Source organism: Homo sapiens, chromosome 8 (genome assembly GCF_000001405.40).
Source record: "Homo sapiens chromosome 8, GRCh38.p14 Primary Assembly".
In the NCBI taxonomy this organism is placed as follows: Eukaryota; Metazoa; Chordata; class Mammalia; order Primates; family Hominidae; genus Homo; species Homo sapiens.
Genome location: NC_000008.11, coordinates 126,429,440 through 126,455,444, shown reverse-complemented (window position 1 = coordinate 126,455,444; position 26,005 = coordinate 126,429,440). Strand labels below are relative to the sequence as shown.

Here is a 26,005-nt window from a genome sequence, read left to right as displayed (position 1 = left end):
ACTAAGGGATTTTCACACATCAGTAGTTAGCAGATGGACTCTTGTGGTTTCAGATTCCTAGAATATCAGCACCTAAATTGACATGAGGGACATAGTCAGGAAACCCAGGACTGAGTCCTGGCTCTCTTGTTGTTTCTAGCTGTGTGGCTTTAGAAAAGTTATCAAATACCTTCAAACCTCAGTCTCTCCATTTTTAAAATGAAGATAAGATCTTTTTGAGTGTCATGAGGCACAAATTCATTCAATCATCTATTCAATGAGCATTTATTAATTTTCTTCTGTGTTCTAGATCCTAGGGATAAAAATATATAATATATAGTCATCTTCTTAAAGAAGTTAGCCAGGTGTGGTGGCTCACACCTGTAATCCTAGCACTTTGGGAGGCCGAGGCAGCAGGATCACTTGAGGTCAGGAGTTGCAAACCAATGTGGCCAACATGGAGAAACCCCATCTCTACTAAAAATACGAAAATTAGCTGGGCCTATTGGTGCACGCCTGTAATCCCAGTTACTCGGGAGGCTAAGGCAAGAGAATCGCTTGAACACAGGAGATGGAGGTTGCAGTGAGTGGAGATCACGCAACTGCACTCCAGCCTGGGTGACAGAGTGAGACTCTGTCTCACAAAAACAAAAACAAAACAAAAAATAAACAAAAAAAAGAAACTCACAAACCAGAAAGGTGTGGTAGACAATAAACACATATGAAACAGCATGCAAATGGTATGAACTGGATGCCGTTGAGCCAAGATTAAGAATACTCTACCCTGCCTAAATAAGTAACAAGGGTCTCAGGAGAAGTAGTCAGAACTGAATACTGGCTGGGCATGGTAGCTTACGCCTGTAATCCCAGCACTTTGGGAGGCTAAGGTGGGAGGAGTGCTTAAGCCCAGGAGTTCAAAACCAGCTCTGGGCAACATAGCAAGATGCCATCTTTATTAAAGAAAGAAAAACAATTTTGATGGATTGACGGATGAGTGGAGATGAGGCAAGTCACGGCAGCATGAAAAAAAATAAAGGGAAGAAAAATGTGTTATATTTTGCAATCTGCATGTCCTTTGTACTCCTGAAAAGTATAGTGTGATGAGTATTGGCAAATGAAGTGACATGGTTAAAAAATGTGTCAATTCTGACTTAGTCCAGTTCTCTTAAGTTCAGTTTCAGGTCACTGACTCATATATAATCATACTCAATTCTTTGGAAGTGAGTCACTAAGCACAGTTCATACTCAGGGATTGTGTGTTTGTGTATGTGTATATATATATACATGCATGCATGTATATATTTGTGTGTACACACACACGTGTGTACGCACAAATGTGTATATATATACACAAATATATACATGCATGCATGTATGTATATACACATACACACATATATATACAAATATATACATGCATGCAGGTGTGTGTGTGTATATATATATATGTATGTATATACACATGTATACACACATATGCATACCCCATCGCTTGAGTGCAGGCTTTATTTAGTTACTTAGTGACTCACTTCCAAAGAATTGAGCATAGGAAGGGAAAAAGAACTACCTTACCACTGGAGAAACCTGGCAAACACTGTCTCAACCAGGTGATCAAAGTTAACATCATGAGTGACAAGGCATGTTGTACCCATTTTTTTTTTTTTTTTTTGAGATGCAGTCTTACTCTGTCGCTTAGGCTGGAATGCAGTGATGCACTCTCAACTCACTTCAGCCTTCACCTCCTGAGTTCAAGTGATTCTCCTGCCTCAGCCTCCTGAGTAGCTGGGATTACAGGCACACGCCACCACACCCAGCTGATTTTTTTATTTTTAGTAGAGATGGGGTTTTGCCATGTTGGCCGGCCTGGTCTCGAACTCCTGACCTCAGGTGATCCGCCCATCTCCGCCTCCCAAAGCGCTAGGATTACAGGCATGAGCCACCATGCCTGGCCATGTTGTACCCTTCATATGATGTGATGATAATGGCACTTCAACTCTGTGGTCTTCTCCCAAAACAATGAATAACTCCAGTCTAGCTGTGAGAAAGATATGAGACAAACCCTAATTGAAAGACAGTATATGAACTCTGACCAGTAGCCCTCAAAATTATCAAGGTCATCAAAAACAAAGCTTTAGGAAATTGTCACAGCCTAGAGGAGGCTAAGGAGACCTGATGGCTAAATGCAATGTAGTTGTCTGCATGTGATCCTAGAAGAACAACAACATAAAAGGACACTGGAGGAAAATTAGTGAAATCCAAATAAAGTATGGAGTTTAATAAATAATAATTAGCAATCTTGGTTGTTTAGCTGTGACAAGTATACCATGGTAATGTAAGATGTAAACAACAGGGGAAACTGGGCGAAGGGTATAAGGGAACTCTCTGTATTATCTTTGAAACAAAAAGCTAAAATTATTATACAATATTAAATGAATAAAAACATACAATACTCTATCTCTTTAATACTGGTTAAGAATTGTAAAAGGCTAAGAGCTTTTTAAGCCATATTACCCTCCCTGAGCACATTTTAAGGCTTTGTCATGATCTGGGAGGGAACTCCCATCTCCCAATATAAACTGTGCTGAGAAAAACGGATATTTCTGAAATCAGTTCCCAATAAGATTTATTTGAAGTGCAGGAATTCAAAGAGAAACAGAGCAAGATAGAAAAGGGTCTTTGGAGGCCGGGTGCGGTGGCTCACGCCTGTAATCCAAGCACTTTGGGAGGCTGAGGCGGGTGGATCACGAGGTCAGAAGATCGAGACCATCCTGGCTAACACGGTGCAAACCCCGTCTCTACTAAAGATACAAAAAAAATTAGCCGGGCGTGGTGGCGGGCGCCTGTTGTCCCAGCTAGTCGGGGGTGCTGAGGCAGGAGAATGGCGTGAATCCAGGAGGCGGAGCTTGCAGTGAGCCGAGATCGCGCCACTGCACTCCGGCCTGGGTGACAGAGCGAGACTCGAGTCTCAAACAAACAAAAAAAAGAAATGGGTCTTTGGAGTTAAGATTCCTGCGAGCTCTTTTCATCTGACGCTTAATTTGATGTGATTGTGTTAGAATTTCCTCCCACATCTTGGAGTCTGGGAGAAGGCCAATAGAATCCAACACTTTTCAACTGTCTTCATAAATCCCAATCCTATAATTGGAAAAAATGTTCTCTCACAAAATTGAAGATGAGAAATCCTATTCAATGAGCAAACTAAAGGCAGTAATATGGGTTGCAAAGACCTTGACATGAGAGGAAACAGGCCTGGGCACATCCTGGGCAAGCAACTGCTCTGCCTCTCTATCTATATCATAAGATGAGAATTTTGGAGCAGTTTATTTCTCCTTCTAATGCTAATATGCTAGGACTCATTTCCTAGACAGTTGAAAACATGTTTATGGGCATAATATCTCTCCACAAGACTATTTGAGGAACCAAGAGAATTTCTAAATACTGATTTAATACAAGTATATTTTGAAAGGCAACTTACTTTTCAAACTAATGAGTTTGGATGGATCAGCCTACAGGGGCATATATTTTTCATAGAATTAACCAATCTGCTCATCTCTTCTTTTGGTTTTACTTATACCAACTGCGTTAGTTTTAGGGAAAGTGTGTTTCTTTTTTTTCTTTCCAGAGTTTCCCTCTAGTGTTTGTTGCTCAAAGTCTTCCTGTTGCTCGAACATGTCCACAGACAGCTAGGCCTCTCTCTGTGTCTTTCTTCCAAAAACGGAAGGAAATTACTTCCTTCATTTATTAATTTGGACAATTACTTTCTTAATCATTGATTTATTTCTTTCTTCACACACTTAGATTATGTAGAGGGAACTACATTTGGTTAGTTACTAGATGCTACCAAAAAGCTCATACTTAAGTAGAAAAAGAAACAAAGAAAAAAATACAATGTAGTGTAATAAAGGTATACAGAGGGTGCTCAGGAACCTGTAGGAAGAATAACAAATGAAACTTGGGAATGTCAACCCTGTTCCTGCTTCTAGGCCTTTGTACCTGCATTCCCTAAGTCTGAAACACTTCCTCAAACATAGTCATGGCTTGCTCTGAAGCTTAATTTAGGTTTTTTTTTTGCTTTTGGTTTTGCTTTTTCTCGAGATGGAGCCTTGCTCTGTCACCCAGGCTGGAGTGCAGTGGTGTGATCTGGGCTCACTGCAGCCTCTGCCTCCCAGGTTCCAGTGGTTCTCCTGCCTTAGCCCTGTGAGTACTGGGATTACAGGCACCTGCCACCACACCTGCTTAATATTTGTATTTTTAGTAGAGACAGGGTTTCATGATGTTGGCCAGGCTGATCTCGAACTCCTGACCTCAAGTGATCTGCCCGCATCAGCCTCCCAAAGTACTGGGATTACTTTAACATGAGAGGAACTAGGTGTGAGCCACCATGCCCAACCTTAATTCAGTTTTCTGCTCAAAATTCCCCCTTGAGTGAAGCCTTTCTTTGCTATCTGATCTTTCCCTTACTGTGCTTTATTTTTTTTTCAGTGATATTATATTATATATTTGGTTGTTTATTTATCTGTCTGCCCATTAGATGAGCAGGAGGGCAGAATCTTCTATCCTGTTGACCATGATATCTCAAGTACCAAGGTCTCTGTTTTGTGAATATTTGTTAAATGCTGAATGAATGAACAAGTAAATGAATGGATGAACACTGAGTGACACATGAAAGCTTCCTGGAGAATGTGGCAATTTAACTGAATAATTGGAGGTATGAATGGGAGTCACCCAGGCAAAGACACAATGAGAACAGGAATTCTAGGTAGAGAAAGCACATCAGCAGAAGCCTGTAAAGATGAGAGAGCTTGGAATGTTCTTCAAATTGCAAACAGTTTGGTGTTACTGAATCCTGGGATGAGATGGGATAGGAGCGGGGAGCCATGAGGCTGGAGAAGACAGCAGGGAAGAAGGCTTCAATGAGCAGGCTGGAGAAGTCACATGGCAGTGAGTGCCAAGCAAGGAAGAGGGCGGCCTTAGGGTGTGGCTGAAGAGCCATTGAAAGAACCCAGTTGGTAGCTGGAGGCCACAGAATGCCCTCATCTTCCCAAACCTTATTCTGGCTTTTTCTTCAAATCCCCAACAACTCCAAATCTCTTCCACAGGCTTTCTTTTAAATAGGGGTCTTTCAAAGTTTTTCGACTATCATCACAGTGAGAAACACATTGAACATGGTGTCCAGTTCATAAATAGGGTGATAGGTGATTGATAGATACTTAATCCTTACTACATCGAATGTACTGTATATTCTATTCTCTATTCTATTCTATTTTCTTTTTCTTTTTTTTTTTTTTTTTTTTTGAGACCGTGTCTTGCTCTGTCATCCAGGTTGGAGTGCAGTGGCGCAATCTCAGCTCACTGTGACCTCTGCCTCCCAGGATCAAGCGATTCTTGTGCCTCAGCCTCCCGAGTAGCTGATATTATAGGCATGGGCCACCATGCCCAGCTGATTTTTTTGTAGTTTTAGCAAAGACCGGGTTTCAGGCCATTCTCAAACTCCTGACCTCAAATGATCCACCCACCTCGGCCTCCCAAAGTGCTGGGATTACAGGCATGAGCCACCGTACCCTATCCCCATTCCAGTCGATTCTTAAGACTGCTGGTTGTTCCCACTAAACTGATTTCTCTACCCACTGTTTTCAAATACACCTGTAACTGGATCATGATGTAAATAGCTTTTTATTTTCTTTTACTGAGGATTACCTTTTAAAAAGTCTGAGCAACACTTGTCTACAGCCCAAGGCCCAGGCCCAGACAATTCTGCATCAGAGAGCACACCCCAGGCAAATGGCCCTCAACCCTAAGATGACTCAGATCCCATGCTGGGAGAATTCTGTGATGAAAAACAGGCCAGTTAGTGGCCCTTGCCTTCAGCAGCCAATGCTTAAGGAGTGGTCGGCTTTCTGACAGTGTGCTTCTGTGCATGCCAATAGTAGTTACCTTTCAAAGCATAGTTGTATTTAAATGAGTTCTTAAAGTGACCTGGATTCCAGGCAGGGAGCCCCAGGGGATGTGTTTGCATTTCTTGTGAAGATCATCATTGCTTATATCAGTCATCTTAGCAAAGGCATTTAGCAGACTTGCATGTGTCTGGCATAGTTGAAGTCTGCCTGGTTTATGGGTCGTTGATGTTAACTTGCAGGAGGGAAGATGATTTTTGAAATAAATCTTTGCCCAGAGCAATCAGAAGTTCTCCAGATCATGTTGAGTGAGGGAGAAGGCAGTGTGCTGATGAGAAAGAGCTCGGAATTGTGAGTTAGAGGAGACAGAATTGAGTCTAAGACTCTCTTCGTGTGACCACGGTCAAGTTATTTAACTTCTTTAAACTCAGTTTCCTTATGAATGAAACAGATGTAATAATTCTCTCCCTTGACTTCACAGAGACATTTTAGGACTAAAAATAATGTACGTGAAAGTGCTTTGGCATGCCCAAAACTTACACAAATGATAACAGTTTGTTCTGAACATGAATGATGATAATTAATAAATGCGTTCTAAACAATTATAAAACTACCATCTTACAGGTAAGAAAACAGACTCCAGAGAGATTAAAAACTGACAAACAAAGAGGAGTAATACATGATAAAGCTAGAATGCAAACCCAGGCCATTGTGGTTGTAAAGTCCTGCTGTGAACCACTATGCTGCATAGGAGACATCCTAGGGAATGCAGGAGCGCCATGCTGAGTGCTCCTTGATGGGACAGATTCTTGCCTGTCTCGTAGCATTCCCAACGGCTGGTACACAGAACATACTCAATCTGTGTGCATTGCACATAAATATTCTCACTTGTCCTTCTCTTCCTCTTTCTGTCTTGGATTCTTAAATTATTGTTGATATATATATATATATATATATATATATATATATATATATATATATGCTTTCTTAAAATTACTCTGTTGTGCAGGCTAGCTTCCTATAGCACTTGGAGTAGCAATAAATAAGCAAAGAAGCAAAGCCTGCTTTGGATTCAGGAATAGAATTTGTTCAGGCTGAAAAACATATCTAATGAAATACCTGTTTTTGTTCATTTTCAAATATGGGCACCTACAAGGCACAAATGCCACCCAGAAGGCACACAGAAAGGCTCACACTACAACTGCACTTGCGCTGTTGAAATAGATTTGAAGCCTGAGATTGGTGTCCTGCTTGGCTGAGTTGTATCTGGCTCATTTTGGGACAAGCACATTTGGAGTTTCTTGCCTTGGCCTGGCCCCAGCAAACCAGAAATTATAGATTCCTAATCCAGAGTTCTGCTTGTATTTCTTACTTTCTGTAAAAAAAGTAAGTAAAAAAAGGTAAAAAATTATACATTTCTTTCTGTAAAGAAATGTCTAATTTCTTTACAGAAATTATAGATTCCTAATCCAGAGTTCTGCTTGTATTTCCCTGGAGTGACACTCCAGGAAAAGTCACTGTATTAGTCTGCTAGGGCTTCCATAATGAAATGCCACAGACTAGGTGCCTTAAACAACAGAAAGTTGTTTCCTTATGATTCTGGACCAAGGTCAAGGTGTCTGCAGAGCTGGTTTTTTTCGGAGGGTCTCTCCCTTGGCCATCTTCTCTTGACATGTCTTCCCTCTGTGTATGTCTGTGTCCTAATCTCCTCTTCTAATTAGGATCCTAGTCATATTGGACTAGGGACTACCCTAGTGACTGCATTTAACCTTAATTACTTTGATATAGTTTGGATGTTTGTCCTTTCCAAATCTCATGTTGAAATGTGACCCCCAGTGTTGGAGGTGGGGCCTGATGGAGAGTGTTTGGGTCATGGGGATGGATCCCTTATGAATGGCTTGGTGCTCACCCTGCAGTGATTAGTGAGTTCTAGCTTTATTCGTTCATGTGAGAGATGGTTATTTAGGAGTTAGATGTCTCCCTCTCCTTTCTCTTGCTTTCTCTCTTGCCATATGATTTGCCTACTCCCCGCTTTGCCTTCTGCCAGTGAGTAAATGTTTCCCAAGGCCTTACCAGAAGCTCACAGACCCTGCTGCTATGCTTGTATTGCTGCAGAACTGTGAGCCAAATAAACCTCTTTTTTTAATAAATCACCTAGCCTCAGGTATTCCTTTATAGCAATGCACACTACACTAATACACCCTTTAAAAACTCTATCTCCAAATTGAGTCACATTCTGAGGCACTGGGTGTTGGGACTTCAATATATGAATTTGGGGGAGGACACACAATTCAATCCATAACAATTGCACAGTGGAATCAGATTAAAATGATGACAATGGGATCTACAAGAGACATAGTTTTCATAAAATTTTGGGACCTGGAGGTGAAAGAGAAGCAGAAGCAACATTCTTTAAGTTTGTGTATTATTTTATTTTCAGAAAAGAAATTTATTTCAATTCCTTTTCATGCTTCTGTTGTTATACTAAAATGTCTCTTTCCATGTGGGAAATAGTACATTATTTCCAAAGGAAAAAGGCTATTTGAGGACATTAAGGTGCTCCATTTATTCTGTGAAAAAAGACTCATTTTACATATACATGCATTTCTTGCAGTCACCCTGGAGGAGGAAGATAAATATTTCTCCATAACAACAACAACTACCAGAAATCAGATTTATTTTGTGTTCTTCTAGAACCAATACGGTGGTAGAATTGAAGGCAGGCCCACGAGGCACACAGAGGCCCATGAGGTGGCCTTTGATGAACTCATGCTTCTGTGTAGGGCCTGTACCCAAACTAATGTGAGACTCACCACTCTGTCTAGACTTTATTGTCTGAAAATGCTCTTTAGATGTTATCGGACTATGCTCTATACTAATTTTTGCTATTTTGGACTCTGCCTGGATTTTTTGTTCCCAAAGAGTTACTTTTTTCCTTTTTTAAAATTCAACTTTATTGAGGTATAATTTATATATCATAAAATTCACCCTTGTTTTAGGTATAAAGTTTGAAGACTTTCAAAAAAAAATATATACATTCATGTAACTAACACCACAATCAAGTTACGGATTATTTCCACCCACCCCACAAAGATCTCTCCTGATCCTTTATAATCAACATTGTCCCTATTCTCAGTCCCTGACAATCATTGACCTTATTTCTGTACCTATAGCTTTCCTTTACCAGAGTGTCATATAAATGGAATAATACATGGAATCATATAAACGAATCTCCCGATGCTTTTGGGAGTCATTCCTTTTTATTTCAGGTATCAGTCATTTGTTTCTTTTCATTGCTGAGTAGTATTCCATAATATGGATCCCCAATTTGTTTATACAGTTACCAACTCATGGACATTCAGGTTGTTTCCAGTGTTTTGATATTATGTTTAAAGCTTCCATTAACTTTTGCATGCAGGGCTTTGTGTAGACAAGTTTACATTTTGAGGGTAAGTGCTTATGAAATAGTTTTTGAGTTTTCTGAGAAGTAGAAGCGAAGACTGGGTTAGACATTCAAGAGATTTAGGGAAATGCTCATGAAATAAAAAGTGGAGGGAACAGTGAGAAGGCAGGGAGAGGTTTCCGTTCATGATGCAAATCTGATCCCTGTGAAGGATAAGAAGAGGGAAGACAAACTGAACAGGAAAAAAAAATGTAGATCGGTGCCGTTCTACTCTAGCTTCGGCTAGGGCTATGGGGAGTCTTTGAGCTAAACTTAGATTTGGGGGAGTGCTTTGTCTTACAGGAATGGGCTTGATTAATATGTTCACTGGGTTCTGAGCAGGAGCTGGGAGCAGACCACAGGAAATGTGCCATTGGTGTGACTGTATTTATTTATTGGGTTTAGAGAAGCAGCCACTGGACTATAAGTCATTTATGTTCCTGCAACAGAGATCTGAGTGGCTTACCTTCAGGAGTGCTGCAACCTAAAAGTGCCATCCCTGGGTCCTGTGGCAAGCATATGTTTAACTACAAGAAACTGCCTAACTTATCTTAAATGACTGCATGATTTTGCATTCTTACTGGCAATATATGAGAGTTCCAGTTGCTCTGCATCTTCACCAGCACTGTGTGTTTTCTGTTTTGTTTTAATTTCAGCAATTCTGGTAAATGTGTACTAATAACTCATGGCATATTAATTTGCATTCCCCAATGAATAAACATATTGAGTGTCTTTTCATGTATTTATTTACCTTCTGTATTTCAGCTTTGGTGAAGTGACTATGCAAATCTTTCACTCATTTTAAAAATAGGATTGTTATGTTGTTAAGTTATAATGGTTCTTTATATATTCTGGATGCACGTTATTTAGTAGAAATGTATTTTCTAAATATGTCACCTAATTTGTGGCTTTTCTTTTTATGCTTTTAAGAGTATCTTTCAGAGAGCAGAAATTTAAAAATTTTGATTAAGTTCAATCTATCAATTTTATTTTATGGTTCACGTGTCTTAATTAAGAAGTCTTTGCTTAGACAGATCTTACAAATTTTTCTCCTAGTTTTTTTCTTTCTTTTTTTTTGAGACAGAGTCTCAAGGCATTTCACCACGTTGGCCAGGCTGATCTCAAACTCCTGACCTCAGGTAATCTGCCTGCCTTCACCTCCCAAAGTGTTAGGATTACATGCATGAACCACCACACCTGGCCTCTCCTAGGTTTTTATCTAGAAGTTTTATAGTTTAAGTTTTGCATTTGTCCATCTATCATTGACATTTGTATATGGTATGAAATAGCAGTAGAGATTCAATTTTAGCACATGGATGTATGTCCAATTGTTCCAGCACCATTTATTGAAAAGAATGCCCTTCCTCCATTAATTTCCTTAGCATTTTTTGTCAAAAATTAATTGACAATATATTGTATTTACCATCTGTTTCTGGACTTTCTATTCTGTTCCATTGATTTATATTTCTATCATTATGCCAATGTCACATTGTTTTGATGACTAGGGCCGTAGAGTGTATTTGTTTAAATGATATTATTTTCTTCTGATTTTGATTTTTAAAATTTAACTTAAGTTTAGTTTAATAATAAAACCACTTTTAGGCCGGGTGCAGTGGCTCATGCCTGTAATCCCTGCACTTTGGGAAGCTGAGGTGGGCAGATCACCTGAGGTCGGGAGTTCAAGGCCAGCCTGACCAACATGGAGAAACCCTGTCTCCACTAAAAACACAAAATTAGCTGGGGATGCTGGCACATGCCTGTAATCCCAGCTACTCCAGAAGGAGGCTGAGGCAGGAGAATCACCTGAACCTGGGAGGTGGAGGTTGCAGTAAGACGAGATTGCGCCACTGCACTCCTGCCTGGGCAACAAGAGCAAAACTCCATCTAAAAAAAAACAAAAAACAAAAAACAAAAAAAAATTTTATTGTCCAATTGTTCATTGTGAGTACATAAGAAAGTCATTGGCTTTTGTGTATTTGTATCCTATGACCTTTCTAAACTCATTTTTTTCTTAGTTCTAGTAAGTTTTTGAGGCTTCTTTAGAATTTTTTTACACAGGCAATTGTAGGATTATCTTTAAATAAAGAGATTTTTACTTCTTTCTTTCTACTATGTGTGCTTTTTATTTCTTTTTCTTGCTATATTTTATTGGCTAGGAATTCTAGTATAATGATATATTCAAATATAATAGCTGACATCCTACCCTTCTTCTTGATCTGAGGGGAAAATCACTCAGTCATTCACCATTTCATATATTGACTGTAGGTTTTTCTCAGATGTCCTTTATGAAATCAAGGAATTTATCTTCTATTCCTAGTTTGCTGAAAGCTTTTTTTTTTTTTTTTTTAAATCATAAAAACTATTTCGTGAGGGCCAGGAGCAGTGGCTCACACGTGTAATCCCAGCACTTTGGGAGGCCAAGGCAGGCAGATGGCTTGAGTCTAGCCTGGGCAACATGGAGAAACCCCGTCTCGCCAAAAAAATAAATAAAATAAAATAAAATAAAATAAAATAAAATAAAATAAAATTAGCCAGATATAGTGGCAGATGCTTGTAGTCCCAGCTACTTGAGAGGATGAGGCAGGAGGATTGTTTGAGCCTGGGATGTGGAGGTTGCATTGAACCAAGATTGCACCAACACACTTCATCCTGGGTGACAGAGCAAGATCTTGTCTCAAAAGAAAAAAAAAAAAAGAATTTTAGCAATATTTTTTCTTCATCTATTGAGATGATCACATGGTTATGCTTTTTTATATTTGTTAATATACTGAACTACATTGATTTTTTAAAACACCTCTATGGATATGTAATTCACATACAATACAATTTACCCATTTAGTGTGTGCAATTCAACGATTTTTTAGTATATTTACTTCTATAGCATTTATCGCTACAGTCAACTTTAGGATATTTTCATCACCTCAAAAAGAAACTTCATAAATTCTCTAGCTTTCGCCATCCCCAGACTCTCATATTCCCCCAGCCCTAAGCAACCACTAACCTAGTTTCTGTCTCTACAGTTTTGCTTATTCTGAACATCTATATAAATGGAATGATGTAGTACGTGGAATTTTGTGACTGGCATCTTTCAATTAGCATCATGTTTTCAAGATTTATTTATATTGTAGTATGTATCAGTACTGTATTCTTTTTTATAGCCAAATAATATTTTATTGCATGGATATACTACAATTTTTATTCATTCTTCAGATTATTCATCCACTGGTTCAAAGACTTTTAAATTGTTTTCTATCTCTTGGCTCTTGTGAATAATGTGGCTGGAAATATTTGTGTCTTTTTTTTGTGTGGACATATATCTTCATTTCTCTTGATTATATACCTAGAGTGAAATTGCTGAATCATGTGGTAACGCTGGTTTTTTTTTTTTTTTTTTCCAACAGGGTCTCACTCTCTCACCCAGGCTAGAGTACAGTGGCATGATCTCGGCTCGCTGCAACCTCTGCCTCCCGGGTTCAAGCGATTCTAGTGCCTCAGCCTCCCAAGTAGCTGGGATTACAGGTGCCTGCCACCATGCCTGGCTAATTTTTAAATTTTTAGTAGAGATGGGGTTTCACCACGTTGGCCAGGCTGGTCTCCAACTCTTGACCTCAAGCGATCCACCCACCTCAACCTCTCAAAGTGCTGGGATTACAGGTGTGAGCCACCACGCCTGGCCTAATATGATAACTCTATGTTTAACCATTTGAGAAACTTCCAGACTGTTGTGCAAAGTGTCCGTACTATTTTACATTCCCATCACTAGTATATGATGATTCTGATTTCTCTGCCTTCTTTGCCAGCGCGTTTTATTATTTGACTTTTTGGTCCCAGCCATCCTGGCAGTGTGAAGTGCTGTCTTGCTGTGTTTGTTTGTTTGTTTGTTTGTTTTGTTTTGAGACGGAGTCTTGCTTTGTCCCCCAAGGCTGGAGTGCAGTGGCCTGATCTCTGCCCACTGCAACCTCTGCCTCCCGGATTCAAGTGATTCTCATGCCTCAGCCTCCTGACGAGCTGGGCCTACAGATGCACGCCACCATGACTGGCTAATTTTTTTGTATTTTTAGTAGAGACAGGGTTTTGCCATGTTGCCCAGGCTGGTCTCGAACTCCTGAACTCAGGCAATCCACCTGCCTCGGCCTCCCAAAGTGCTAGGATTACACGTGTGAGCCATCATGCTCGGCCTTACTGTGGTTTTGATTTGCTTTTTCCTGATAACTAATAACATTGAGCATCTTTTAATGCACTCACTGGCCATTTGTATATCTTCATTGAATAAATATCTGTTCAGATCCTTTGTCCATTTTAAAAATTAGGTGATTCGCCTTTTTATTATTTAGTTGTTAAGAGGTTTGTTTTGTATATTTGCATACAAGTCCTTTATTAGATTCATGATTTGCAAATATTTTCTCCCATTCTGTGGGTTGTCGTTTTACTTTCTTGATGGTATCCTTTGAAACACAAATGTTGTTTGTATTTTTATGAAATCTAATTCATATATTTTTGTTTTATTGCTTATGATTTTGGTTTTATATCTAAGAATATTTTGCCAAATCTGAGGTCATGTAGATTTAACCCTATGCTTTCTTCTTTTGTAGTTTTAATTCTTACCTTTAGGTCTTAGATGTATTTCAAGTTAATTTTTGTATATGGTGTGAGGTAAGGTCCAGCTTCACTCTTGCATGCAGCTATCTGCTTGTCCCAGTACCATTCATTGAAGATCATTCCCCTTTAAATGGTCTTGACAGCCTTGTCAAAAATCAGTTGGACATAAACACATGGTTTTATTTCTCTCTCTTTTTTTTTTTTTTTCAGGCTGGAGTGCAGTGGTGCGATTTTGGCTCACTGCAAGCTCCGCCTCCTGGGTTCACACCATTCTCTCACCTCAGCCTCCTGAGTAGCTGGGACTATAGGCACCCACCACCACGCCCAGCTAATTTTTTGTATTTTTTAGTAGAGACAGGGTTTCACTGTGCTAGCCAGGATGGTCTCGATCTCCTGACCTTGTGATCCACTTGCCTCGGCCTCCCAAAGTGCTGGGATTACAGGTGTGAGTCACTGTGCCCGGCCTTTCTGGACTCTTAATTCTATTCCATTGATCTATATGGCTATCCTTAATGTAGTATCACACACTGTCTTGATTATTGTTGCCTTATAATAAGTTTTGAAATTGGGAAGTGTGAGCTCTTGTACTTTGTTCTTCTTTTTCAAAATTATTTTGACTATTCTAAATCCCTTGCAAATTCATGTAAATTTTAGAATGAGCATCAATTTCTATTAAAAAGTCAGCTGGGATTCTGATAGAGGTTGTGATGAATCTGTAAACTAATTTAGATAGTATTGTCATCTTAACAATATTAAGTCTTCTGGTGCATGAGCGTGGGATATTTTGTTCTGCTTTGGTCTCCTAAACTGCTGGGATTACCGGCATGAGACACTGTGCCTGGTCATGTGACAACTTTTAACACTTTGCCTTATAATCCCAGGATTATTTTTAAATAAACTACTGCTGAAGTGTGATGGAAGAAGAGTAATATTTGGTTTCAAATATTAACCACCAGGCATGACAATGATGATGATGATCATAATAATAATAAAAGTAACACTTAGGGCTGGGCGCCGTGGCTAATGCCTGTAATCCCAGCACTTTGGGAGCCTGAGGCTGGCCAATCACTTGAGGCCAGGAGTTCAACACCAGCCTGACCAACATGGTAAAACCCTGTCTCTACTAAAAAAAAAATACCAAAATGAAAAAAATTTTAGTCAAGCATGGTGGTGCACCTGTAGTCCCAGCTACTCAGGAGGCAGAGGCAGGAGAATCACTTGGACCTGGGAGGCGGAGGTTGTAGTGAGCAAAGATCGTGCCACTGCATTCCTGCCTGGGCGACAGAGTTAAGACTCTGTCTCAAAAAAAAGTAACACAGTATTTAGTACATTCATTCTTCATGCTTATTAGTTTATACGGATTATATCACAACTAATTTTATTTGATATTGTAAATATGAAGTGAGATAAGTACCCCAAATTTATATTCAGCATTATAACTACCTCCATATATTATTACATGCTACATATATTTTCTATTCACTGTCAGTCTTTTGACATGAGGGATACAGGTAGGGAGCATTTTTTGAGTGGGTGCTGAATAGTGGTTTGGCAACATTATTAAGTAACTTCTTACTCAAGGGTAAGGGTCGAAAACCAGAAAGGGATTTAAAAACCAGTTACCAATCCATAATTCATCTTCTAAAACTGTGTGGTCAGATGTGTTTGGAAACTCGGAATTGTCGTATTTTATAAAGTTAATAAGATGCATGTGTTTTCTCCTAGTTAACACCTTCAGTGAGGTCTGGGGCAGCGTTTCATGACATCTCATTGTTTTAGGGAAAACAACGACCGTAAATAACCTCACAGTATTTGCTATCAAAGGAGTTGCTTCAAATGCTGTTCTCAAATAACTTTTGGATGTTGAGATTATATATAATAAAGGACTATAAACATATATGATCAAAATTGCCCACAAAAAAATATTCTAAATCGCCCATAAAATATGATATATTAGTTTTGTGTAGTAGCCCAAATTCACGCTAAGTCTAATATGGACAATTGTTCCTCCAGGGTAGAACAGATTGCTGTTGCCTTAGTTGAGCACCAGATGAAGTAATTGGCTTGCATTAGGGGCTCATGTTCAATGAAAATTATGATTTTCTCTCTTTATTTTTTGGCCAAGCATGGATAGTTGAATATGGGCAGATTAAATCAATGTATGTTTGATACTACTCTACCATAGAATACTTGCTTGAACAGTTTCACATGAGCCAACAGGCATAGACAGGGATAAAAATAAATACCGGTGCCAAACTACAGCCTCCTGATCAGCAACACATTTAAAATGTGTGCACAGAGATGGCAGAAGATGGTGTATTCTGAGGTCTGCACAAAAATAAGTTAATGTGGCAACACAAGTTAATGAATTGGTGGCATCCAATGTGTTAACATTTCTAATTATGAGTTTTGTATGGCAGTTTTTAAAATAATTCAAATATATTTTTAAAAAGTGAAATTTGCATCAAATCCTAAGACTCCACAAAACAGTTGTCTCTATGGTTTATTCTAGACGTAGATAGCAACACAGCAACAATAACAAAAACGACACTTTCCTCTTAATGGACATAATTAACATTTCTTGAGTACTTACTATGTGCCAAGCACTGTTCTATATGCTTTAGACATAGTAATACATTTACTTTTCATTTATTTATTCAACACATACTTACCAAGCATTTGCTTTGTGTTAGGCTTTGTTTTAGACCAGTGATACTGAACAGGGACAGAGTTTGCTTCCTGGCGGACATGTGGCAATATTTGGAGTTATTTAGCATACTTTAACTGGGAGGGTGCTATTGGCATCTGGTGGGTAGAAGACAGGGTGGCTGCTAAACATCCTACAACACACGGAAGAGTCTCCGGCAACAAAGACTCCTCTTGCCCACAATGTGAATAGCACCAAAGTTGAGAGAAATGCAACAGTGAACAAAATAGACAAAATTTATGTCTTCATGGAACGTATATTTTAGTAGACAGAAACAAATGATTTAAAAAGTAAGCATCGGCCTGGTGCTGTGACTAACACCTGTAATCCTAGCACTTCGGGAGGCCGAGGACGGTGGATCACGAGGTTAGGAGTTAGAGACCAGCCTGGCCAAGATGGCGAAACACGGTGTCTACTAAAAATACAAAAATTATCTGGGCCCAGTGGCGGGCATCTATAATCCCAGCTACTAGGGAGGCTGAGGCAGGAGAATCGCTTGAACTCGGGAGGTGGCAGTTGCAGAGAGCCGAGATTGCGCCACTGCACTCTAGCCTGGGCAACAGAGCAAGACTCCATCTCAAATAAATAAATAAATAAATAAATAAATAAATAAATAACAGTAAGTATCAATCGTATTACAACTTGATGAGGTTTAAATTTTACTTTTATTTTTATTTTTTTGAGACAGGGTTTTCTCTCTGTTGCCCAGGCTAGAGTGCAGTGATGGAATCTCGGCTCACTGCAACCTCTGCCTTCCCGGGTTCAAGTGATTCTGCTGCCTCAGCCTCCCTGTAGCTGGGACTACACAGCACCACGCCTGGCTAATTTTTGTATTTTTTGTAGAGACCGGGTTTCACCATGTTGACCAGGCTGGTCTTGAACTCCCAACCTCAAGTGATTCACATGCCTTGGCCTCCAAAAGTGCTGGGATTACAGACGTGAACCATGGTGCCTGGCCCGATGAAGGTTTTATACTACCAAAAAAAAAAAAAAAAATGGGGAAGAAGAATAGGAAGTCTGTGGATGTGGTTGGTGGAGGTTTGGGATTAGAAATTTAAATCAAGCATTTAGGGAAGGCCTTGCCTAAGAGACGATTTTGGAGGAAAACCTTGAAGGAGGTGAAGAGGCAGGTATGTGGATATCTGGGGGAAAAGTAACTTTCAGGTAGAGGCAACAGCACAAGGACAGGCCCTAGCCAACAACATGCATGACTTTTTTCAAGAGACAGCAAGGAGACCATTGTGACCTGAGGAGCTTATAGGAGGGGAGATTAGAAGGATGGCTGAGAGGAGAAATTGTGTAGAATTTGTAGACCAATGTAATGGTTTGCGCTTACTCTGAGTGAGTGGAGTGCCATTGGAGGGTTTTGCACAAAGAAGTGTCATGAGCTCATTTGCTTTCAAAGCATCCTGCTGGCCACTGCTTTGAAAAGTGACCATAGAAGGCCAAAGGTGGAAGCAAAGAGACCATTAGAAAGTCACTGTGAAAGACTGCGGTGACTCAAACAAGGTTTCCAATGGTTAAAGGTGAGAAGTGGCTGGATTCTGGGAATATTTTTCAAGATTGGGGTGTTCGAATTTTGCGAATGCATATGGGATGTGAAGGAAGAATAAAGAAACTTTCCTTTTATATATGCGTGTATTTGAGCTGAGCCACTTGAAGAATGGAATTCCCAATTATTGAAATGGAGAAAGTTAAGGTAGGAATAGTTTGGGGAAGGAAATCAGAATCACCATGTTTAATTTGAACTGTTTGGATCTGTTTAATTTGAAGTATCTATCTGAACATTCAAATGGAGACTTTGAAACATTCTCAACCACTCTATGAAGCAGGTACTATTATTATCCCCATTTTGCTGGTGAGAACCATTCATAAAGAGGTTAAGCAACTTGTCCATGATCATCCAGCCATTAAGTAGTGTAACTTAGACTCCAATGATACAAACAGATGTCTTGCTAAAAAGTCTCATCAGCCCTCTCTCCTGGGATAGCATCTCTTGATCTCCTTTTCTATGGATTGCCTTGACACTAGCTCTGGGAGGGAAAAATTTTCTGCATTGAAATGAGATCTTCAGATAGAGCCTCTTTATGCAGTTGATATCTGAAAGTTAAACTGTTACCTCTGTCAAATTTTTATTTGATTTGGTCATGCTAAAAGTCAACCACAAAATAAAAGTTAAGGAAGAGAGAATTCCTCAGTTGCAGGTAGCTTAGAAAATAATCATTTATTGGGCATCTACACAAGATACGCACAGTATGATCACCCATTGAGCATCCTTATTAGAAAGATTATAGACTTTGGAGTCCCACAGACAGACCTGCATTAAAATACAGTCTCCATCACCCATTGGCTGTGGTATTCTGGAAATAAAACTTAACTTTGCAAGTCTGCGATGAGCAATTGAGATAATGCATGTAAAAGCATTCTCTCTGTGATATGTTCAAGCAAACCAATGACTTTTTCATGCAAGGATTAATCTATTTCTTTTCACGGGTAGCTATAAATTAACGGATACCAGTTTCAGTCTGAGCTGATGATAAGCTTGGGAGATTAATTGTGGTGATGGTTTCACAACATGAATGTACTTAGTGCCACTGAACTATACACTTCAAAATGGTTAAAATAGTACATTTTATGTTATGTGTATTTTATGCATTTTTTTAAAAGGCAGAACAACAAACAACAAAAAAAGAAGACTTCATGTGACTTTCCTTGAGGTGAGTCAGAGTTGTGAGTGAGGACGGAGATGAGGCAGACAGTTAGAAATGAACGGGCACAGTGGCTCACACGTGTAATCCCAGCACTTTGGGAGGCCAAGGCTGACAGTTCACTTGAGCTCAGGAGTTCAAGATCAGCCTGGGCAACATGGCGAGACCCTGTTTCTACAAAAAATAAAAAACTTAGTCCGGCGTGGGTAGTGTGTGCCTGTAGTCTCAACTGCTTGGGAGGCTAAGGTGGGAGGATTACTTTAGCCCAGGAGGCAGAGGTTGCAGTGCGCCGAGATCACGCTATGGTACTTCAGCCTGGGTGACACAGTGAGACCCTCTAAAAAAACAAAAACAAAAACAAAAACAAAAAAAAAGCAAAACAAAACCTGGGCGCAGTGGCTCATGCCTGTAATCCCAGCACTCTAGGAGGCTGAGGCAGGTGGATCACCTGAGGTCAGGAGTTCAAGACTAGCCTGGCCAATATTGTAAAACACCATCTCTACTAAAAATACAAAAATTAGCCAGGCATGGTGGCACATGCCTGTAGTTCCAGCTACTCAACAGGCTAAGGCAGGAGAATCACTAGAACCCAGGAGACGGAGGTTGCCGTGAGCCAAGATCATGCCACTGCACTCCAGCCTGAGCATCAGAGTGAGACTCTGATTTTTTTTAAAAAAAAAAAGAGAGAGAGAGAGAATAGAGGGCTACTGCTGATTAGCCCAGTGAAGAGGTCTGTTCTCCACTGCTTCAACTGCCCTATAGTCTGGCTGCCTACTAGTACTTCTCCAAATATAGGTTGAGGGGGAAGAAGATAAAGACTGTGAGTCCACTTCACACAGACATCCTCCATCACAGAACAACTGGTTAAGGCACTTTGATCTTTGTACTTAACACATACGACATACCACACAAATACACACACAGAACCACTTTCCCTAATATGTGTCTGAAAGGTTGGCATGTTAATTTCTTACTGCTGCCATAACAAATTATCACAAACTTAGTGATTTAAAGTAACACAAATTGATGATCTAATTGTCCTACATATCGGAGGTCTGGGTTGGCACAGCTGGTTTCTCTGTCCCATTACCCAAGGCCAAAATCAAGGTCTCAGAAAGTCTGCATTTCTTTCTGAAGGGCCTGGAGATTAATCTTTTTCCAAGCTCATTTAGCAGTTCTTTGAAGTTGCAGGGCTGAGGTCACAGTTTCCTTCCTGGCTGCCAGCCAGGGCTGGACTTTTGTTCCTGGAGCCTTTCTCACACTTTCCTTGTGAACTTTCCTTCCTTCTCATACTTTCCTGGTGGACTTTCTCCAGCAACAGGGGGTGGAGTTTCTCTTATGTTTTGAATCTCTCTAACTGGCTCCTCCTCCTTCCTCTTCCTCTTTTAACTGCTCATTTGATTAGATTGGGCCCACTCAGAATAATCCAGGATAATCTCTCTATTTTAAGGACAACTGATTAGTGACCTTCATTACACTTGTAAAGTCCCTTCACAACAGTATACAGTTTAGTGTTTGATTGGATAACCAGAAGACAAGCGTCAGGGGACATCTTCAGAATAATTTTGGTTCTCTGAGTCAGATTGACTGCTAGAAAGCATTGCATACTTAGCAAGACTTAATTGTTGTCAACAGGACTGCATGGGTCCCATTGCTTCCAGAGAGAACACTCAGGCTTTGGTGATGAGCTCTGAATGCCAGCTTCCCCTTTCTTTATGCTGGATTTTCTTAGCAGACATACATCTTTTTTCTTCATTGCTGGCTGTTTTCTATTAGGGCCACTACAATACACTGGACATTCATAAAATAATTTGGAGACTCAAAGGGTGTTCTTCCTGCCTGCTGCCCAGAAAAGAAAAATGCACTGAAAACAGCAGGTTTTTCAGCAAAGAAGAGTTTAATAATCGCAGGGCCAGCTAAGCAGAACGATGGGAGACATTTCTCAAATCCACCTCCCTGAGAGCTCAGAGGGTAGACTTTTTTGTTTGTTTTTTTTGTTTTGTTTTCTTTTGATACAGAGTCTCACTCTGTCACCTAGGCTGGAGTGCACTGGCGCAATCCCAGCTCACTGCAACTTCTGCCTCTGAGAGGGTAGAGTTTTTAAAAATGATGTGGCAGGCAGGTGGCTAGGGAATGGGTGCTGCTGACTGGTTGATGATGAAATCATAGGAGTGTCGAAAAACATTCTTCATGTGCTGAGTCAGTTCCTGGGTGAGAGTTACAGGACCAGTTGAGTTAGTTCCTTGACATGAGTCATGGGGGTTCCAAGTGGAGTTGGTCATCAGAATGCAAAAATCTGAAAAATATCTCAAAGACCAATCTTAGCTTTAGATAATAGTGACATTATCTATAAAAGCAATTGGGGAAATTACACTTCTTGTTACCGCCAGCTACATGACTCTTGAGCAGTAAGTGATTATAGAAAGGCAAGCTAGGGAACAATAGCTGGGTATCGTTTAACTACATCGACATATCAGCAGAATTCAGGTTCCTCCCGGAATCCTAACCTTGTGGTCTTACAAAGGCAGTTTTAGTCCCTGAATAAGGAGGAGGTTGGTTTCAGGAAGGAACTGTTATCATCTGTGTTTTAAAGTTAACGAAGGCAGTTAGCTTGTGATGTTAGAGGCAAGATAGAGTCAGCTATGTCAGATTTCTCTCACGGTCATAATTTTTGCAAAGACAATTTCAAGGGTAGGGTTGGAGGGCTGGATTGCTGCTCTACTAGAAGATCCTTTATTCCCTCTATAAATTTGGTCATCAGTGCCCATCAACATTACAGCTCAAGGTTGCAAGGGACACGAGGAAGGAGCTGCATCACTCTGCCTTCCCACAAAAGGGAACCCTAATCATTCGATACCCCAAAGGAAACAGCAAACACACACACAACACTACATAACTAAACCCACAAAGCTACAAAAGAAAAACCTCCACAACAGCCAAATGAAAAAAAACTCTACTATTAACTTTCTTCTCCCAAAAAAAAATGTCTGTGTGAGTGTGGGGAATGCCCACTTACTTTTAACATGTGCCTAACTAAAAAGGGTCTTTTCAGTGGTCTTTCCGTCAGAAACAAGGTCTCTTCCAGAGAAATTTTCTATCTCCACTACTAGAAAGAAGAGTAACTACTTTTTTTTTTTTTTTTTTTTTTGAGACGGAGTCAAGCTCTGTCGCCCAGGCGGGAGTGCAGTGGCGCGATCTCGGCTCACTGCAAGCTCCGCCTCCCAGGTTTACACCATTCTCCTGCCTCAGCCTCCCGAGTAGCTGGGACCACAGGCGCCCACCACCATGACCGGCTAATTTTTTGTATTTTTTAGTAGAGACGAGGTTTCACCGTGTTAGCCAGGATGGTCTCAATCTTCTGACCTCGTGATCCGCCCACCTGGGCCTCCCAAAGTGCTGGGATTACAGGCGTGAGCCACCGCACCCAGCCTACTATTGTTTTTAAGTAAAAATTTAAAAAATAATTATTTTGCCTTACTGGGCAGGTAACTACATATTTGTTGAGTACCCATGTTGTATCAGGCACTAAGCTAAGTGATTTTTATGTTTTACTTTACCTAAATTGCAAATTAAATACAGGAGACCCTTTGAAACGTGGTGTTGCCCAAATGTCACATCCTCACTGAGGACTTTCCTGGCCCCTCTCCCCGATTTGAATTTTGTTTGTTCGTTTGTTTTTGAGACAGAGTCTCACTCTGTGGCCCATGCTGGAGTGCAGTGGTGAGATCTCGACTCACTGCAACCTCTGCCTTCAGAGTTCAAACAATTCTCCTCCCTCAGACTCCCGAGTAGCTGGGACTACAGGCGTGTGCCACCGTATCCGGTGAATTTTTGTATTTTTAGTAGAGACAGAGTTTCACATGTTGGCCAGGCTGATCTTGAACTCCTGACCTCAGGTGATCCACCCACGTTGGCCTCCCAAAGTGCTAGGGTTACAGGCATTAGCCACTGCACCCCGGCCCCTATTTGAAATTCCAACAGCCCTCCAACCCAGCACACCCATTCTTTTTTATACTTTATATTTCTTTAAATAGTTTATATTAGCTTCCAATGTAGTATAATAGTTTTGCTACAATTGTGTTTATTGCCTCTTCCCCACTCTATCTTGTTTATTATATGCTCCCTGAAGGAAGAAGTCTTGTCAATTCTGTTAGTTGTTCAGGACAGTGCTTGGCACACAGTAGGTGCGCAGTGAATAGCTTTTGAATGAAGCAGTGAATAATCCTCATTGCGATTATCCCTTTGGGCTTGGCTCTATTTTTATCTCTGTTGTACAAATGTGGAAATTGAGGCTTAGTGAAATAGAGAAAGGTACCTGGAGCCCACTGGTAGCAAGGGTCAAAACCTAGGCACATGATAGTAAAATGGTTATTGAGTTTGGAAAACCCACCACGGAGTAGATTAGCAGTATTGGTGTAACTGTAACAAATCTGTTGCCCAATGTAGCAAGTTGATATGCCTAGAAGAGACCCTGGTTTGCAATAGAGAAAGAGATAAAACTGTAGGGCCGCTGAATGAGGAGATGCTAGGAAACCTCAAATCCATCTCCCCAAAGAATTTGGGGCTAGGGTTTTTAAGAGTATTGAAATGGGCCAAAGTGTGAAGATTGTTGATTGGTCAAAAAGTGCGGGGTAAAATCATAGACAGGGAGATGAAGAAACTGTACTCTCAGGTCGATGCCGTGCCTCTGTGCGGGTCTTCACATTAGTTGACATCAGCTGTTTTTCTGGAATTCAGGATCTGAAAAACATCTTAGGCAATTCTTAAGTGAAAGTCTTACAATTCTCACATTAGAAATCTTGTCTATAGGAACAATGGGAATGCAAATGGTCAGTATCCAGTGCTACATGACTTTTGGTTACCAGAAAATGGGTCCAAGCACAGCCTGATAAATGCTTAATTATAACTATATTTCTGTCGAGAATTCTTGTCAGTCCTCTGAGGATGACTTCAGTAGTCTAATAGTTATGCACATGGACTCTGGAGCCAGTCTTCCTGGCTTCAGTGCCCAGTTCTGCTTTTGGGCAAAGTACTGACCCTCTCTATATCATCATTCCCCATCTGTCAGTGGGAGATGAAAATAACAGTACAATTACACCATACAGTATCTGGGAGGATTAAATGAATTAATACAAGAGCAGTGCTTAGAAGAGTGTAGCAAGTGCTATTACAAATATTATATATATGTATATTACATATGTATTACATATATGTAATATTTGTAATATGTATCTAATATTTATAATATATATATGTATATATATTTTTGGTTTTCCTTAATTTGGAACGTGTATGTACCTGGCTCCAATCCTCCACCTCTCCCATAGTCTAGATGTTTTGCATTCTCCAAATGTGTCCAAACTTTAGCAACGTATTTGTTTACACCTATATTTAGCTAATGTGTGTGTGAAATTACCCATTATGTAAATGGCTTTGGTTTAGTAAGCAGAATATGCGAGGATATGGTTAATGGGAAATTGTTTTGTGCAACTTGGAAAATGGAAGAATCATAAAAGAATCCTTTGGAGACACAGTCTGATCAAGGGATAACCAATACATTTGCAGGTTTTTGTTTTTAAATAATAACCAGCCACTAATGGCCTGGAGCAGAATATTGATTTATCTGCAGCAAGGTAGGCTCTGTTTCCCTGCTACATTGCCAGCTGTCCTCTTCAGCATTAAGCTGCCTCACTTCAATCCAGTATCTGTCAATCCAGTTTTCAAGGAGGAAGCTTTCAAACAGTGAGGAGGGCTGGGCGCAGTGGCTTACACCTGTAATTCCGGCACTTTGGGAAGCCGAGGTTGGGAGGATCACTCGAAGTCAGGATTTCAAGACCAGCCTGGCCGACGTGGTGAAATCCCATCTCTACTAAACATACAAAAAATTAGCAGGGTGTGGTAGTGGGCGCCTGTAATCCCGGCTATTCTGGAGGCTAAGGCAGGAGAATCGCTTGAATGCGGGAGGTGGAGGTTGCAGTGAGCCAAGATTGCACCACTGCACTCCAGCCTGGGCGACAGAATGAGACTCCATCTCAAAAATAAAAATAAAAATAGGCCAGACACGGTGGCTGAGTCTGTAATCCCAGCACTTTGGGAGTCCAAGGCAGGTGGATCACTTGAGGTCAGGAGTTTAAATCCAGCCTGGCCAACATGGTGAAACCCCATCTCTACTAAAACTACAAAAATTTGCTGGGCATGGTGGCAGGCGTCTGTAATCCTGGCTACTCGGGAGGCTGAGGCAGGAGAATCATTTGAACCCGGGAGGTGGAGGTGAGCTGAGATCACGCTATTGCCCTCCAGCCTGAGCAACGAGAGTGAAACCCCGTCTCAAATAAATAAATAAATAAAAATAAACAAACAAGAAACAGTGAAAAGGCTTTGTCATTTTTGTGGATGGTTGCTGGAAGATTTTTCTGTGCTTTATTTGGTAGGAGTCTTTTACTTTTTGCTGAGCTAGAATCTAGCCTGTTATGCACTGTGCACTCAAATTCCTTGGCAGACTGATGAGGCTCTTAAATTCTTTCAAAAAGAAGGCTCTTGAAATTGGCCCTCCCTCAGGTGCCCACTGTTGCCTCGGGCAGAACTCCCCTTCTATCTACGCAAATCTCCCTCTAGACTGGGAGGGCCTGGCCCCGCTATGATGGGTGAGAATAGCATTAATCCGTGTGAGTTGATC

At 40.4% G+C, this 26,005-nt stretch overlaps 4 annotated features.

Moving 5' to 3' along the window:
* Window positions 4,466-5,275: an enhancer, noted in NCBI's record as "H3K27ac-H3K4me1 hESC enhancer chr8:127462415-127463224 (GRCh37/hg19 assembly coordinates)". NCBI's record gives its function as "activates a minimal SCP1, AML or CMV promoter by ChIP-STARR-seq in naive H9 embryonic stem cells {active_cell/tissue: H9 hESC(naive)}" and the evidence as "EXISTENCE:reporter gene assay evidence [ECO:0000049][PMID:30033119]".
* Window positions 5,276-6,085: an enhancer, noted in NCBI's record as "OCT4-NANOG-H3K27ac-H3K4me1 hESC enhancer chr8:127461605-127462414 (GRCh37/hg19 assembly coordinates)". NCBI's record gives its function as "activates a minimal SCP1, AML or CMV promoter by ChIP-STARR-seq in naive H9 embryonic stem cells {active_cell/tissue: H9 hESC(naive)}" and the evidence as "EXISTENCE:reporter gene assay evidence [ECO:0000049][PMID:30033119]".
* Window positions 6,086-6,895: an enhancer, noted in NCBI's record as "OCT4-NANOG-H3K27ac-H3K4me1 hESC enhancer chr8:127460795-127461604 (GRCh37/hg19 assembly coordinates)". NCBI's record gives its function as "activates a minimal SCP1, AML or CMV promoter by ChIP-STARR-seq in naive H9 embryonic stem cells {active_cell/tissue: H9 hESC(naive)}" and the evidence as "EXISTENCE:reporter gene assay evidence [ECO:0000049][PMID:30033119]".
* Window positions 20,801-22,000: an enhancer, noted in NCBI's record as "BRD4-independent group 4 enhancer chr8:127445690-127446889 (GRCh37/hg19 assembly coordinates)". NCBI's record gives its function as "activates an origin of replication core promoter dependent on BRD2, P300/CBP, MED14 and CDK7 cofactors, and independent of BRD4, by STARR-seq in HCT116 cells {active_cell/tissue: HCT116}" and the evidence as "EXISTENCE:reporter gene assay evidence [ECO:0000049][PMID:35650434]".